The 16630-nt window shown below is 39.6% G+C and overlaps 1 protein-coding gene across 8 annotated transcripts in view, besides 1 other annotated feature; it reads left to right on the top strand.

The window, feature by feature from the left end:
* FSIP1 (fibrous sheath interacting protein 1) overlaps positions 1-16630 on the top strand; it is a 185402-nt gene that overhangs the window by 63744 nt on the left and 105028 nt on the right. For all 8 annotated transcript variants that reach the window (XM_011521305.4, NM_001324338.2, NM_152597.5 and 5 more), the window contains one exon: positions 5517-5654. In XM_011521305.4, the coding sequence (XP_011519607.1) occupies positions 5517-5654 (138 nt within the window). The remainder of the gene's footprint in view (positions 1-5516; positions 5655-16630) is intronic.
* Positions 14096-14390: a silencer, noted in NCBI's record as "tiled region #4200; HepG2 Repressive non-DNase unmatched - State 24:Quies". NCBI's record gives its function as "represses a minimal TATA promoter and a strong SV40 promoter by Sharpr-MPRA in HepG2 cells {active_cell/tissue: HepG2}" and the evidence as "EXISTENCE:reporter gene assay evidence [ECO:0000049][PMID:27701403]".

The raw sequence follows: 16630 nt of genomic DNA, 5'->3' as shown, positions 1-16630 counted from the left end.
ATACAGTATTTTTCGAATATTTGAACTATATGGTTATGCCATCGGAGGCCATGACTGAAGAAAGCTGTTATATATCCTTTGGGTCTAACTGTAGAGAATTATAGACTCATAAGCTATTAGAAGGGGAAATAACTTTCTCAGAAGTAACTGAGACCCAGAAAGAGGAGGTGACTTCCTCAAAAGTGCACAGCTGATTGGATTGGAAGCTAGAATCCAACCTTCGGGTGTATACCTCTTAGGTATGGAGAGTCACATTGTCAGAGCAGGACAAAAATGGCTTTGGCAGAAAAGTTTATTAAAAATAAAAAATCAGTGGCTCACATCTGTAATCCCAGCACTTTGAGAGGCTGAGGCGGGAGGATCCCTTGAGCCCAGGAGTTCAAAATCAGCCCGGGCAACATAGTGAAACCCATTTCTTCTTCATACAAAAAAAATCAGCCAGGCGAGGTGGTGTGCACCTGTAGTCCCAGCCACTTGAACTTGAGAGGCTGAGGTGGGAGGATCGCTTGAGCCTGGGAGGTCGAGTCTGCAGTGAGATGTGGTTGTGCCACTGCACTCCAGCCTGGGTGGCAGAATAAGACCGTGTCTCAAAAAAAAAAAAAAAGGTTTGTCTGCTTATGAAATTGATAACATGTTTATTGTAGGAAATTCAGGAACTACAAAAAAATAAGAAAAATAAGATTAAATCATCAGGATTTTTGCCAAGTTAATTATTGTTAAATTTCCTTCCAGTCTATTTCTCTATACGCACACAGACTATATATATATACACACATATATATGTACACACACATATATATGTATATAATTATATTTGTGTGTGTGTATATATATGTGTGTGTGTGTATATCTATATCTGTATCTATATCTATCTATCTATCTATGTATATATCTATGTTAGAGTTTTTGACAAGAAACAGAAGGAATACCTAGCTTGGATTTCGAAGATAATTATATGAAGGGACTATTTATATAGATTTAAAGGAGCTAACAGTGGATGTTGGGACACCGAGAGACTAGCCACCGTGGATGGGGGAAGAAAAAGTGTGTGGGAGCTCAGCAAGAGCTGGAATTGTGGGAGAAGAACTGGCCATCTGAAGTTGTAATAATAGAGGACATGGGCAAAGGGTTAGCCAACCCCAGCCCCCTCAGCGTGAGCGCTTGAGCGGTAATTAGTTTCCTAACTCTGTTTCCTTGGCAATCTGAGAAAAGTTGGCATGCTGAATATGTTAGGAGGCGACTTTGCTTATGCTTAAAATGATCCCTGGATTGGGAGAATTATAAAGACCTGATGGAGAAGCTGTATTTTGGCCATCTCTGACTGCAGTGATTCTTGTGGCTGGGCACGTTTCTTGCTGGGTCCTTGGACTCGGTGTGCCTATGGGGCCATTTCAAGAGATAATGGCTCCTGTAGGATATGAGGATTTTAAGACAGTCAGCTTATAGCTGTTTTGCTCTTTATACCTATATTGTTTTGGCATGGACTGTAGCAAACACTCCCATTGAAAAGGGATACCTGATACTGGCCTGCTGTGTTTCCTGTCTTATAACCTTCTGAGTAGAGTGGCTCTAAGTGTGTCCTCTGTTAGTCTTTGAGCATGAATATGCAGTTGAATCTAAGAAAACTCAGCACATCTCAGGGATACATCACTGCCCAAACTGTGATGCAAAAGCATTAGGGGAAGGGGAAAAAATACCCTAAGCTCTCTCTCCTTCTGTCCTGTACTCTCCCCTCACTTTGACTAAACCTAACCAGAAGATGGAGCTCAAGGAGAAACACTCTGATTGTCCCAGCTGTGGCAGGTGCTCACCATAGTTTATCATACTCTATTGATGGACATCTGGGCTGTTTTCAGTTTTTAGCTGCCATGAACATTTGTGTACAAGGCTTTAGTTATATATTTTAATTTCTTTTTGATAAATTCATAGGAGTTGAATTTTTGGATCACATGATCGACAAACATTTAACTTTTTAAGAAATGGCCTGTTTTGGCGTGGTGGCTCACACCTGTAATCCCAGCACTTTGGAGGCCAAGGTGGGTGGATCACAAGGTCAAGAGATTGAGACCATCCTGGCCAACATGGTGAAACCCTGTCTCTACTAAAAATACAAAAATTAGCCAGGCATGGTGGTGCATGCCTGTAATCTCAGCTACTCAGGAGGCTGAGGCAGGAGAATCGCTTGAACCCGGGAGGCAGAGGTTGCCGGGAGCCAGGATTGCGCCACTGCACTCCAGCCTGGCAACAGAGCGAGACTCCGTCTCAAAAAAAAAAAAAAAAAAAAAGACATGGCCTGTTTTTCAAAGTGGTTGTACCTTTGTATAGTCCTGCAAACAATGTAAGAGAGTCCCTGTTGTTTCACACATTTCCAACATTTGGTGTTCACAGTTTTTTTCATCTGGGCCATGCTAGTGGCTGTGTAGTAGTGTCTCATTGTGGTTTAATTGCATTTCCCCAGTGACTAATGATGTTGAGGAGGTTTTCATGTTCTTATTTGTCATGCACATAGCTTTTATGAAGTATCTGTGCAAGTCTTTATAGAATTTGATTGTCATTTGATTAATTATTATTGTCTATTTGATTATTTTTATTATCGAGTTGTAGGAGTTCCTTACATATTCTGGATACAAGTCCTCTGTCAGATTTGTGTGTTATGATCATTTTCTCTCAGTTGGTGGTTTGTTCATTTTCACAGTGGTGGTTTTGATTAAGCAACATTTAAAAATGTTGTTAAGTGCAACTTATAATTTTTTTCTTTCTGTGCCTTCTCTTTGCTTGCCCCAAGATTTAGAAAAAATCATAGTTGTAGATTATTAAAATAATTTCAATTTAAAAATGAAATCCGGGGTGTTTTGCAGATTACCATGTGTCCTACTTCATAGCTGGTGTATCTTCATGAAAGTTTATAAAATGCTGACTGCTTAGCATTGCAAAGAGACCTTGATACCATTTTTTCCAAACTTCCCCCTAACATTAGATTTCCTTTAAAAAATATTTCTGATAATAATTCAGCCTCTAGATGTGTATTAGTCTGTTCTTTCACTGCTATAAAGAAATACCTGAGAATGGGTAATTTATAAAGAAAAGAGGTTTAATTGGCTCGCGGTTCTGCAGGCTGTACAGGAGGCACAGCAGCTTCTGCTTTTGGGGAGGCCTCAGGAAACTTACAATCATGGCAGAAGGTGAAGGGGAAGCAGGCACTTCTTACATGGCCAGAGCAAGAGGAAGAGAGAGAGAAGAGGGAGGTGCTACACACTTGTAAACAACCAGACCTCATGGTAACTCATTCACTCACAATCATGAGAGCAGTACTGAGGGATGGTGCTAACCCATTCATGAGAACTCCACCCCCATGACCCAATCACCTCCCACCAGGCGCCACCTCCAACACTGGGGGTTACAATTCGACATGAGATTTGGTAGGGACAGAGATCCAAACGATATCAGGATGCTTCTAGAGATTGAAAGCTACCAGAAGTGAGAAATGAAGCCAAATATAAAATAATCACTTCTTGAAATTGACGCACTCTTAATAATTTGCTTGGTAGAACTGTATACAATAAGAATTTTACTGAAATTCATTGCTAGTTTGATGAAAGTTTCGAAAACCCAAATTACAGTCTATTGGCCAGTGCTTACACAGCTTCAGGATTATAGTTTGCATTGGGATGCAGAGAATAGGGTCAGCCATGTCACTGTCTAGGTGGTGACAGTGTGGTAAGTGCAATAAAGGAGCATGTGGCGTGGCTGAGAGAATAATTTGTCCTTTGTGGGTATGTCAGGGAATATTATGGAAATATGCTTGAACTGGGCCCAAAATGGGTAGGAGTCTCAGGAGTTGGAGGGTTGGAATTGGGGGAACTGGTAGTAGTGAATATTGCTGCACATTTGAGTCTGAGTCTCAAGCAGTGGGAAATGAGATGAAGAGATTGGCAGGGCCTAAAGCATGAATACTTTGCACCTTGTTCTGTGTCTTCCCTGCAAAGAATGGAATCAACAGGGTGACTGGTAGCATCAAGACCAGCCAGGAGGCTCTGGCAGCAACCTAAGTCAGTAGTTCTTGAATTCTCAAGTAGGTGTGCTTCAGTTTATTAGTCCTTAGTCCTTTTTTTTTTTTTTTTTTTTGAGACAGAGTCTCATTCTGTTGCCCAGTCTGCAGTGCAGTGGTGCGATCACAGCTCACTGCAGCCTCGACCTCCCAGGTTCAAGTGATCCTCCCACCTCAGCCTCCCAAGTGGCTGAGACTGTAGGTGTTACCGTGTCTGGCTAATTATTTTTTTATTTTTTATTTTGTAGATATGGGGTCTCACTGTGTTGCCCAGGCTGGTCTCTAACTTCTGGGCTCAAGGGATCCTCCTGACTTGACCTCCTGGAGTGTTGGGGTTACAGGTATGAGCCACCAGGCCTGTCCTGTCCTTCCCTTTTGAATCAGAACCTCCTGGGTAGAGGCTGGTCCTTCGGATTTTTTCCTGGGCTCTGGAGGTGATTCTGAAGCTCACTGGAGTTTAAAAACTGCTGGTGAATGATGAGGATATCTTAACTAAGACGGTGAGAAAGAAACAAGTGCCTTGATTAGAGAGGTATTAGGGATTGGCAACTAGATAGTATTCCTGGTGACCATCTCTATGTAAGGAATGAGGGAGTAGCAGGATTATGGCTTGAGTGATTTCAAAAATGTCATTACTGCCCATCACTTATATGGCAACACAGAGCAGATGTATGTGAGAAAGGAAGTTTAATCTTAGATACAGGACCAAATTCCTATCAAGAAATGCCCATTTTTATCACCCAGAAATAACATTAACTTTGGGAAAATATGGTTCTGTCAATATAAATATTGCAGACAATAATGAAGTACTTTCATTATGTAATACTTAGTCTTTTCAAAGGACATATTCAGCTCGCATTTGTTTGGCATTAAGATTTGTTGCTTGCCTACTACATACTGTGATGACTTTTAGCCTAGATCTATTATTACTGTTACTGTTTTACAGATGATGAAACTGAAGCTCAGAGAGGTTAATTCATTTCCCTCAGGTCAGTCTAGTCAGGAACCAGGCAGGGCAAAGATTCAAAACTCCTGACCTTGCCAAATCCAGTTTTCTTCCCATTATTACACAGCTGCTTCTAATAATATGGATGGGCAGGGTTTTTTCCTTCTTATTTATACATGATAAACTTGAAGTCCAAAGAAAAGTCCAAGGTCTCAAGCTGGTAAGTATCAGAGCAGGGACCAGAACCCAGGTTCCTGTTTCCTGGCTCCAGCTGTTTTCACTGTCTCCTTCTGCTTCCCAAATGATTACAGAAGTTGGGTTCCTTTCCTACTTGTTATATGTACAGTTGGACATTTACCTCCTAAAATGGGAAGACTTTAAAGCGTTATACATATTGTTTTGAAGGGAAGAAATAATTGTTTGAGAAGCAAAGCTAACCCTCAAGGCTCAGTTGCTTTGAGGTGGTATGTGACAGCACATTTCCAGCCTGTGAATGATGTTTTTTTTTTTTCTTTAAATTAGAAACCTGACCGTGATGGTGAAAGAAATATGGAAGTAACTCCAGGAGAAAAGATACTTAGGAACACCAAAGAGCAACGCGATCTGCATAATCGGCTGAGAGAGATTGATGAAAAGCTGAAAATGATGAAGGAAAATGTGGTAAGTCTTTTTGTTTTAATTAATTTTTTTTAAGAAAAAAATAGAGGCAGGTTCTCACTATGTTGCCCAGGCTGGTCTCGAACTTCTGGGCTCAAGTGACCTGCCCACCTCAGCCTGCCAAAGTGCTAGGATTACAGGTGTGGGCCACCGCACCCGTCCATCTCTCTTATTTAAAGTTTAATTGTAACCAACACTTGTACCAAAAAAGGTTTCAGTCTCTTTTGACTGTTTTATGACTGTTCTCATGTGTTAAATCAGCCATGTGAATTTGTCAGTAACAATGTGAATAAAAGCTAAAAATATAATTCGTAGGACTTTGATATTATTCTTAATTTAAGCAATTTATATAATATAAAACATTAAATAACATATAAAACATATTCTGACTTCAGATAGTGTGTAAGATACTATGTGAAGTCAGAATAATAATCCATAATCCTAATATTCTGACAGTGACACAAATATTTGTTTTTCGTGGAAAAATTTGGTAGTTCTCCCTAAAATCTTCCCTATGTTTTGAACTTATAGCTTAAATTCTCTTTTTGTTTGTAATTACTAATATATTATTAGTAACTAGTTAATTTTAATGCATTCCAAATCTTTCTTGGCCTACTTCATGTTTTTCTTGCTCAACATAAAGACATGTCATTCCTGATGAGTGAAAACTCTTAAAGCAACTAAGTTGTGAGCTGGTTGATGCTCTGAACCTCTTAGAATTGCTCTGTCATACTATGATTTTCCCACTACCCATAGAATGTTTTCAGCTGGATACCTGGATTTTACCTAAAATTAAACATGTCAAGGCTGAGCTTGTGATTGTGGTCTTGCGGTAATTACCTGCAGTAACCCCTTTTGGTCTCCTACTAAATTCTGTCATCTTGGGTGATCTTCAAGCTTCTTTGAGTTTTAACCAATGTGACTAGTTTGTTGCCATATTCTTCCTGAGTTTCTTAAGACTCAAAATCTTTTTTTTTGGTCCCTACTTTTATCACCCTTCTCTCAGTGTTGTCACCTCATGCCTTAGCCACTTATAACCTGGTTTTTGTAGGATTTCTTGTTTCCAGTCACTCCCTTCTCTCATTATTCCACTTAATATGCTGCACCATGGAGTAAACATCAGGTGAGTGATTTTAAAATGTGATGCCCTTCAGAGCCCCTGAGAGTGTGCCACAATCCCATCTTCACACCTTGTAATCAAGCCCAGCTGAACTGCCCTCACTGCCTGCAGGCCCACTGCAGCAGCACTGACACAGAGCCTACAGGAGCTCAGGCCCCCTAATGAGAGTTAGGCAGCAGATCTAAAGGGAATGAATACATCGTGCTTTTTTTATAGCTCATTTTTATTTGCTTTGCATGAGAAATCTCATGGGCATTATATTTCAGGGAGACCTCTATTTCCATTTTCAGAGAGATTTCTCTGATTCTGTTGATGGGATGAAGTAGAAGAAGTAGGAATGGGCTGGGTGCGGTGGCTCACGCCTGTAATCCTAGCACTTTGGGAGGCCGAGGCGGGCAGATTGCCTGAGCTCAGGAGTTCGTGACTAGCCTGGGTAACAAGGTGAAACCCCGTATCCACTAAAATACAAAAAAAATTAGCCGGGCTTGGCAGTGTGCGCCCGTAGTCCCAGCTACTTGGGAGGCTGAGGCAGGAGAACTGCTTGAACCCAGGAGGCAGAGATTGCAGTGAGCCGAGATTGCGCCACTGCACACTCCAGCCTGGGTGACAGAATGAGACTCCGTCTCAAAAAAAAAAAAAAAAAAAAAAAAGAAGTAGGAATGGTAGGGAAGTGTAAGGAGGCTCTTGGCCAGTCATTGTAGTGGTAACGATAGTACATTGTGAATTCGATGTGATAAATGAAATGTTTTGGTTTGATTGGTTTTGAAAACTGTTGGTACTTCCTCTCACTCCATATCTGCCAATCCAAGGCGGGCTAAGCCTGTCACTCCCCATGATCCATTCTCCTGATTTCTGACTGCTGTGGTTTGGATGTTTGTGACCCCTCAGAATCCCTGTTGAAACCCTAGTCCCCAAGGTGATGGGATTAGGAGGTGGGGAATTTGGGCAAGTGATTAGGTCATGTCAGTGAAGCCCTCGTGAGTGAAATTAGTGACTTTATAAAAGAGGCCCCAGGGGACTCATTTGCCCCTTTTACCATGTGAGGACGTAGTGAGAAGTCATCCCTATCAAGAAGGAAATGGGCCCTTACTAGGCACCAAACCTGCCAGCTCTTCGATCTTGGACTTCCCAGCTTCTAGAACTGTGAGAAATAAATTTGTGTTGTTTATAAACCACCCAAAATACCATTATTTTGTTGCCCAGACAGACTAACACATTGGCCATTTATCACATACCTTGAACATGTAGCTGTTACTTTCTACCACATCTCTACCATTATTTAATTTTTGGCTCAAAACCAGGGTCCTTTAAGAAATCGTATGTCATTCCAGTGCCTTATGGAATTTGGCTACACTTAAAGGGATATGACAAATGTCAAGAGTTGGTTGTTATCCAAGTGGAAAAGAATAATACATGAGTAGATAAGAGCAATTATTGAATACCAACTATGAGCCAGGCACTGTCCCAAGTATTTTACAGATACTAAAGTATTTAATCATTGCAACTGCTCCATGAGATAAATACCACAGTCCTCATTTTATAGATGAAGAAATGGAGCGAAAGAGAGGTTGACTAATTCCTTGAGGTTATACAGCTAGTAAGTGGAGGAGGTAGGATTCAAATGGTTAACATTTAATAACTATGCTATTACTGCCTTTCTGAGACTTGATTTCCTTTTCATGATTAATGTCTTTTTTTGTGAATTAAAGTGTGATAAACTTGTTATAATCAGTAATCATGAGCAAAATGTTTGGGTTCCCCTATACAAATTTAATTTTCATAGTTTTGTGTTTTATAGTCAACACTTTCAGAGGCTGTTGTCTGCATGATAAAGGCCCATGAATGTTGATCTGTACTGTTTTATGTTTTTTTTTTTTTTTTTTTTCTGAGACAGAGTATCACTTCTGTCGCCCAAGTTGGAGTGCAGGTAGTCCTCCCACCTCAGCCTCCTGAGTAGTTAGGACTACAGGTGTGTGCCACCATGACCAGCTAATTTTTTTATATTTAGGAGAGACGGGGGTTTGCCTTGTTTCCCAGGCTTGTCTCTAACTCCTGGGCTCAAGCAATCTGTCCACCTTGGCCTCCTGGAGTGCTGGGATTACAGGCTTGAGCCACCATGCCTGGCCCTGTTGTATGTTTTCATTGCTTAGTGTTTCATAACTGTAGATTCATAACTGATTTCATAATTGTGGATTCATGTTGTGTACCACGTGACCTGTTGAGGGGAAGATACTGTGTGTTTCAAACTCTGAAAACGCACTGTACCTCATAGATGACTAGATATTATTTCAGCCGGGAATCTGGAGACCTGAGTCCTTGTTTCAGTTTTGTTAATAGCCTGCTCTGTGACCTTGAATAAATTACATAGTTTCTTAGAGCAGGGGTCCCCCACGCCTGGGCCAAGGACCAGGTACTGGGCCGCTCAGCAGGTGGTGAGCAGCAGGTGAGGGTGGCTTCGTTTGTATTTACAGCTACTCCCCATCTCTTGCTTTACCTGAGCTCTGCCTCCTGTCAGATCAGTGGCATTAGATTCTCATAGGAGCGCGAGTCCTGTTGTGAACTGCACATGCCAGAGGTCTAGTTTGCATGCTCCTTGTGAAAATCTAATGCCTGATGACCTAAGGTGGGACAGTTTCATCCAAAAACCATACCCCTCCCCCACCCCTCCCCCTATTGCCTAAAGGGTTGGGGACCACTGTCTGAGAGACTTCATTTCATTGCTTTAAAATCAAGAGAGTAGTGCAAGATGACCTCTGTTCTTTTGCCAGAGATTCTTGGCACACTTATTTTTGATAAGAAGTGATGTTATTTGTAATATATAGTATCTAAAACTAGTTTGTGTTTCCTAAATATTTGTTATTAATTGGATTAAATCTTCTATTGAAAGTTACTTTTGAAAGTTTAGTAACACTTTTTAGGAGAATGCGAGATTGTCTTTTCTATATACAAAATTAGTCTACTGCCCTCCAACCAGAGAATGTGGTTTCTGAATGATAGGAAATGGCCAACTTTGCAGTTTTGCCTTATTCTGCCTCCTGCAATGGAACATCCTTTCAGGATTACTGGTGGAAGAGGTAATCTGTGGCCACTGAATTGGTGATCTAGGGATCAAACCCATATCCTGTTTTAGCGATGGGAGAAGAAAGAGTGAGCTAAGGGGCAGTATAGGAACCCTGGGGGTTACTGGAAACGCCTGCATCTAGGATTGATTTGTCAGTAAATGCTGGAAAAGTAGCTTAATTCTGTGTTTCAGGGTTAGGCTGAGGCTGCTGATACACATTTGTCTTGGTCAAGACTGGTTGAGGAAGTGGGATTTGATTTAGTCTGTAGGAGGTGGTAGTGTTGGCATCAGTGGATTTAGCTATTAGGAGCTAGGGGAAGTAGACACAATGGAATGAGGTTGAAGCTCACACATTTAATATGAAACTCAGTAGGCATATAGGGGCCTTGAAAAGCAGCTCTGAGAGTGGAGGAAGGATGAGCCTTGGGTGCTGGAAGTAGCATGTGTGAAGCACATCTGTAGGATTTCCTTAGTGTGAGTCAACAGTGTCATACAGCTGCTCTGGGACACATTAAGAGAGAAGTAAGCAAAATGGATCATATTTAGATATTAGAGTGACCAAGATGAGGAAGAGATGTAAAACCAGGTCATATGAAGGATTGTTAATGGGGCTACATGTATTTATTTAGCCCAGCAAAGAAGGGACTAGTGTGTTTTGTGTGTGTTGGTTGGGGTAGGAGGGAAGGGGAGTGGTTTGGTAGAAAAATCACAGATGGTAACTTCCCAAAGAGATTTAAAGGGCTAACATGTTAAATGTTAATTTGATTCTTTATAGTGGAGGAGGAAAATGCATGGTGATTGGGAAGCCAAAAAGAGACGTATTTCTGGTAAATATTGAGGAAGAAAGTTAGAATTATCTCATTGGAAATGGTCTGTCTGGGACTAAGTATTCAAAGTAGACTGGAGTGACACTGGCTGGGTAGAGAGAGTGTTGAAGTATCATGGGGTGCCTGGATGGTTTAGGTGAGTGTCTCAGGCATAAGCAGGCAGCCTGTAGATGGTGAGTAGGTGGAGGAGCTGTGCTTTGAGCTCTTTTCACATGTCAGGGAGTTTGTGCTGAGCCACCTGCAGCTTGCCTAGTTGGTTCCCATGGTATTAGGTGTAGTGGCTTTAGCCATGGATAAGAGTTTTTCCACCAGGTTAACTACTTGTATGGAGACAATCTGAGATGTTAGAATGAAGAGATAATGGGAGTATCCGCTTTCATAGAATAGGCACCATAAGACAGCCCCCACAGACAGTCTCTCCATCATTTCCCATACCAGTGATGTTTGTCTCTGGTACTTCAAACCAGACAAACAAGAGAGTAGTTTTCTGTTGGTTGGGGCGCTCTACAGGCTTCTCTGCCCATCCAGTCTTCTAACTCCACTCTGCTCTAAATCATTTCCCTGGTCCTATTATATAAGCTTTATATAGGGGGCTTGGTGGTTAAGGGCCAGACTGCTTGGGGTTTGAATCTCACTTAGTAGCTGTGTGACCTTGGCAGGTCCCCTGAGCCCAATGTGCTTCAATTCACTAATCTGTAGAATGGAGATAATTACAATTACTGTAACACTCACCTCATAGGGCTGTTATGAAGTTTAAATTAGTATATATAAGGTACTTAGAAGAGGGTCTGGACATTTTAAGTGCTATATACATTTTTATTATTAACATAATTAATATGGCATTTACATAAGCTTGTTTCCAGGATAAGGGGGGAAGGACATCGTATGGAGGGCAACATTGAAGATGGAGGGGTAAGCCTTGGAGAAGAACCAAGGTACCCTTTTCCTGACTTGGGGTGAAAGAAAGGAAGGGTGGGCCAAGAAAGGCAGGATGAGAGATGAAGAGAAGGTGGGTGAGGCCATGTTTGAATGTTCTCTACTTACTCTGTAAATTAGCGACCTCTCCGTATGGTCAGAGTGGGAGGGTAGAGTGGGGATTGAAGAAGGGTAGGAAGGGACTGGAATAGAGCTAGTGAAGATGAGAAAAAAGCAATGGTAAACAATCAGGTAGCCCAGGGGAGGTTGGAAACCCTGCTGCGAAATGGAGCCAGTCAGGAAGGCTGAAAGGTTTCTCTGACAGCCCTCAGCAGTCCACCAAAGCTGGAGATGAGGGTTGATGAGTTGAGGCAAGGGTGAGGAGAGGTTGGGTGATTGCAGTGAAAGATCAAGGGGGCAGAGGAACTGGTGGCAGATACCTATGGGGGCAGGGGAACTGGTGGCAGTTACCTATGAGACCGTAACTGAAAAATTGTAATGTATATACCTCAGATATCAGCTGGGACCCTTTTGCCTTGCTTTGACCCAGTTTCATAACTTACTGTACACAGATTAGAATACCATCTGCCTATCAAAAGAATGAGATAGGTCTATGTATCTTGAAAAGATGTCTGTGATAGAGTATTAAGGAAAAAGAGCCTGTTGCAGAAGACAATGATCAGTGTGATTCTATTTTTATAGAAAGAAACATAGGAAAGTCCTGGAACAATATACATATACCAAATGCTTAACAGTAATTACTTTTAGCGGGGATCGGGATGGATGGGGAGGCGGAGAAAGGAAATTAACTTTTTGTAACACACAGTATTTAAAGGGAAAAGTGTGTTGGGATTATGGGTGATTTTTATATTATTCTTGTGCTTTTGTTTATATCTCAGACTGTCTGTAATATACATATGTTGTGTCTATAAACAGAAATAAATTAATGTTTAAAAATATGGAAAGCATCTACATGTACAAGAGATCATTGCTTATTGTATCTCAGTAAGTGGTTTTTATATATTTAGAAAAATAGAGTGAGTCATCACAAGGAATAATATTCAGCCTTATCAGCAATTAAAATTCATATTCAGACAACCTGTAGGAACTATATACACCCGTTAGGCCAGCCAAAAGAATGACAAATGTGATATCATTATGTGTCAGTAAGAGTGGTGTAAAGATTGGGACAGCGATATTTGGACATTATTGGTAGCTGTTTGAATGGGTTATTTTTTCTCCTGGAAAACAATTGGTCAATAAATGTAACAACAGCTATAATATGATTCATATTTTTGACCTGTATAATTCTACTTTTAGGAATATTTTCAAAGTAATAATGCCCGAGGAAACCAAACAACCAACCAAACAAAAAACCCAGGAAATAAATGTTCTCAAAGAAGGGAATGTCAAAGCAACTTATATAATATTAACCCATTTAATTCTATGGTAGGATGATAAAAATGACAAGTACGTGGACTTTGTCAATAGAAGACTTTTAGAAGATTTTTTTTTTTTTTTTTTTTGAGACCGAGTCTCACTCTGTTGCCTAGGCTGGAGTGCAATGGCATGATCTCAGCTCACTGCAACCTCTGCCTCCCAGGTTCAAGCAATTCTCCTTCCTTAGCCTCCTGAGTAGCTGGGACTACAGGCATGCACCAGCACACCCGGCTAAGTTTTGTATTTTTAGTAGAGATGGGGTTTTGCCATGTTGGCCAGGCTGGTCTCGAACTCCTGACCTCAAGTGATCTGCTTGCCTTGGCCTCCCAAAGTGCTGGGATTACAGGTGTGAGCCACTGCACCTGATTAATATATGACTTTTAATTGAAAATATATGATACGAAACATAAAAATAAACATTTAAGATAGATTTTTATCAACTATGTTATATATATATATTCGTATATTGGCGCATATATACTAACAACCATCTGAAGGGAAATAGAATATGTGCTGTAACTTACCTTTATTAGATAATTTTCTACTTTCTATTAAATTGCCTTTATTCCTAAAGAAAGGGGAGCCATAATTAAGGCAATTTTATTATATCATTCTCTTATTTAAAGATATTTTAATCCATTAACATAATGATGGACTTTTTGAGTAATTTAAATGAATAGTAACAATAATTCATGATTTGTCTCATTTTTCAGAGGTGTGAGTGTTCCACTGTGACAATAAAGATTTTTTGTTTTTTTTAAAAAATAAAGAACATTTTTGACTTCTAGGGTTAGGTAAAAATACCTTTGATGAAGTTGCATAATGATCCTATCTTTCACAAATCAAAAGAATTCCATTTTAGTTTTTGCATTTTAAATAAAAAATAATCAATCTGACCTTATCCCATTGATCCCACTAATGATAAAATACTCTCAAAGATGTTTTATTAGTATTGTTAGGAAAAACTTTCCCTGGTTCTAGTCATTCCAAATGCATTGACCACACTTTTTAGGTCTTTTTTCTGTCTCTTTTTGATTCTCAGTTTGAACTTCATTCATTTTCTTCATCATTTGAAGTCTCTACTATTTCTATCCACATTCTTTCTCTTTTCAGTTTCCTGGAAACCACTGAGCTTGGCCTTGTTTGGTGAACTGCATTGTCATTATTGCATCAAAATGTTTAGCACTCTAAGCCCTGTTGCTGAGCATTGAGGATAAGAATGTGGCTGACAAAGGATGATAAATCCTCTCATTTTGATTCTTATTTCGACATGCTCTTGTCATTTAACCTGATATAAGCATATATGAACCCCAGTCAGAAGACTGGAGTGTTCCTTCTGCTTAGAGAATGGGGTGGAAAGTCTACCTTCAATTGTTACACATGCTATAGATTCAGAATTCTTGAATGTGACAGCTAAAGGGGCTTGGAGGTCATTGGGCCAGTTCCATGGATTAGAAACCAAAGTCTTGAGCAGCTAAATGATTTTTCAGAAATAATCAGAAGGCCAACTCTTCTGACACCTCAGCCTGTGAACATTTCAATAAATCCAACCTCTCTAAGTCACGTCCGTATAGTTCAGCCAATTTTTAGCTAAGATTTGTGGCCACCCACAAATGTAGGCTTTATTCTAAAACCTTTAAGCTGTTACCAACCGGATATACATCTTTTCCACATTCAACACTACTCCAAACAGACCTGACATGTTTGTGGTTAAATAGGAAGACCAACTAGTGTGCTTTGGCATTCGTACATTAATGAAGGTCCGAATTGGAAAAATAGTTATACTTTGGTGTCTTTGTTTAGAACTGCAGAAATTATTTTAATCTTTTTTTCACTTGTAACAGGTTTTAGAAATGTGGATAAAATAATAACACTGCCACATACAATTGGTATTTAGAGTATACAACTTTTGTTCTTTCTGTAGGTGGTGGCAGGTGTGTGTAATGATGCAAAACATTTGGTTGTAAACTTTGGAGAGTGAGATTTGTACATTAACAGAGAAACGTTAAAAAATTTGTTCTCTTAATCACAGGCCCATTTTGAAACAAGCAAGTAGAACATAAAATTTTCAGAATTATATATTTCTACATCATTTAATGCAGAAACCTTAACAAAACTCCTTGCAATGGAATATTATCATTTAATAGTTGAGAATGTAGTACAGTTATAGGTATTTCGCTGATGATCATGAATTATCCTGCAATGAATAAATGACCCAGTAACCTTTTAAAAGTTATTGACTACATAGATCAATATAATTTATGAGAAATTTAAAACATAATTAGCTGGAGTTCTTTGAGAGGAAAATGTTTTTATTTATTTATTTATTATTTTTTAAAATTTTACTTTAAGTTCTGGGATACATGTGCAGAAAGTGCAGGTTGTTACATAGGTATACATGTGCCATGGTGGTTTGCTACACCTATCAACCCATCATCTAGGTTTTAAGCCCTGCATGGATTAGATATTTCTCCTAATGTTTGAGATGAAAATGTTAAGGATAGTTGGATATTTTTCCATTAACTTACTTTGTTTCAACTATCATTTATAATCAATTTATAAATATATTAGTAGGTTTCAGTTTCAAATTTATTTTGGAACAAGAGAGGTTATAAATATACTTTGTATTCTACCTATACTGTAAACATTTTAAAAATTATTAAAGATGTTTGGTTCTGGATTATGGTTTTTCACATGTGTTATGATAATGCAGATGATATGTTATAGAAGGTGTAGGCATTGTGCTGTTTCTGAATAATAATGTGCCATATCTTGAGAGGCACCTTAAAAATGACAATTATGAGCTGGGCACGGTGGCTCACGCCTGTAATCCCAGCACTTTGGGAGGCTGAGGTGGGTGGATCACCTGAGGTTGGGAGTTCGAGACCAGCCTGACCACTATGGCAAAACCTCATCGCTACTAAAAATACAAAATTAGCCGGGTGTGGTGGTGCATGCCTGTAATCCCAGTTATTCGGGAGGGTGAGGCAGGAGAACTGCTTGAACCCGGGAGGGGGAGGTTGCAGTGAGCCGAAATCGTGCCATTGCATTCCAGCCTGGGCAACAAGAATGAAACTCCATCTAAAAAAAAAAAAAAAAAAGACAATTATGATAGTAACTTTGTTTTATAATATTACTTATTTTTCCTTAAATTCTTATTGTTGAGCAGAGGCTCTAGAAATAGGTAATACGACTAGTTAGGTTTTAACATAACTTACCTTTTGCTTTCTGAATTGGTTTTTAAAGTTCATTGGTAGAGGCCATGTGCTGTAGGTGTGATTACATGGAACAAGTACAGGTACTTGCTTCAAGAAATAAATAAATGTGAATATAATTAAGTATAATTATATAAAATAATTATTGTAAAAATTATAATATGTGATACACACTCACACCATATTTAAACAGTATAGCATTGAGGTAAAAGAAAAATGTATACATAAACATTATACTGATTTTAGAGGTTGAAATGAAGCCTGTTATTTGGATGTTGACCCAGGGTAGTAACATGCCACATGGGACTGTTTACAGCCCCTGTGCAAATCTCTGGACGGGAGAGTTCTAGTTCTAGCTATATGGCAGACTAGATGTTAAGGGAGACCGTGCTTGGGAAAGC

Source organism: Homo sapiens, chromosome 15 (assembly GCF_000001405.40).
Source record: "Homo sapiens chromosome 15, GRCh38.p14 Primary Assembly".
NCBI classification, from domain to species: Eukaryota; Metazoa; Chordata; class Mammalia; order Primates; family Hominidae; genus Homo; species Homo sapiens.
Note: the sequence above shows the minus strand (reverse complement) of the source record. Positions and strands in the feature narration are given on the sequence as shown.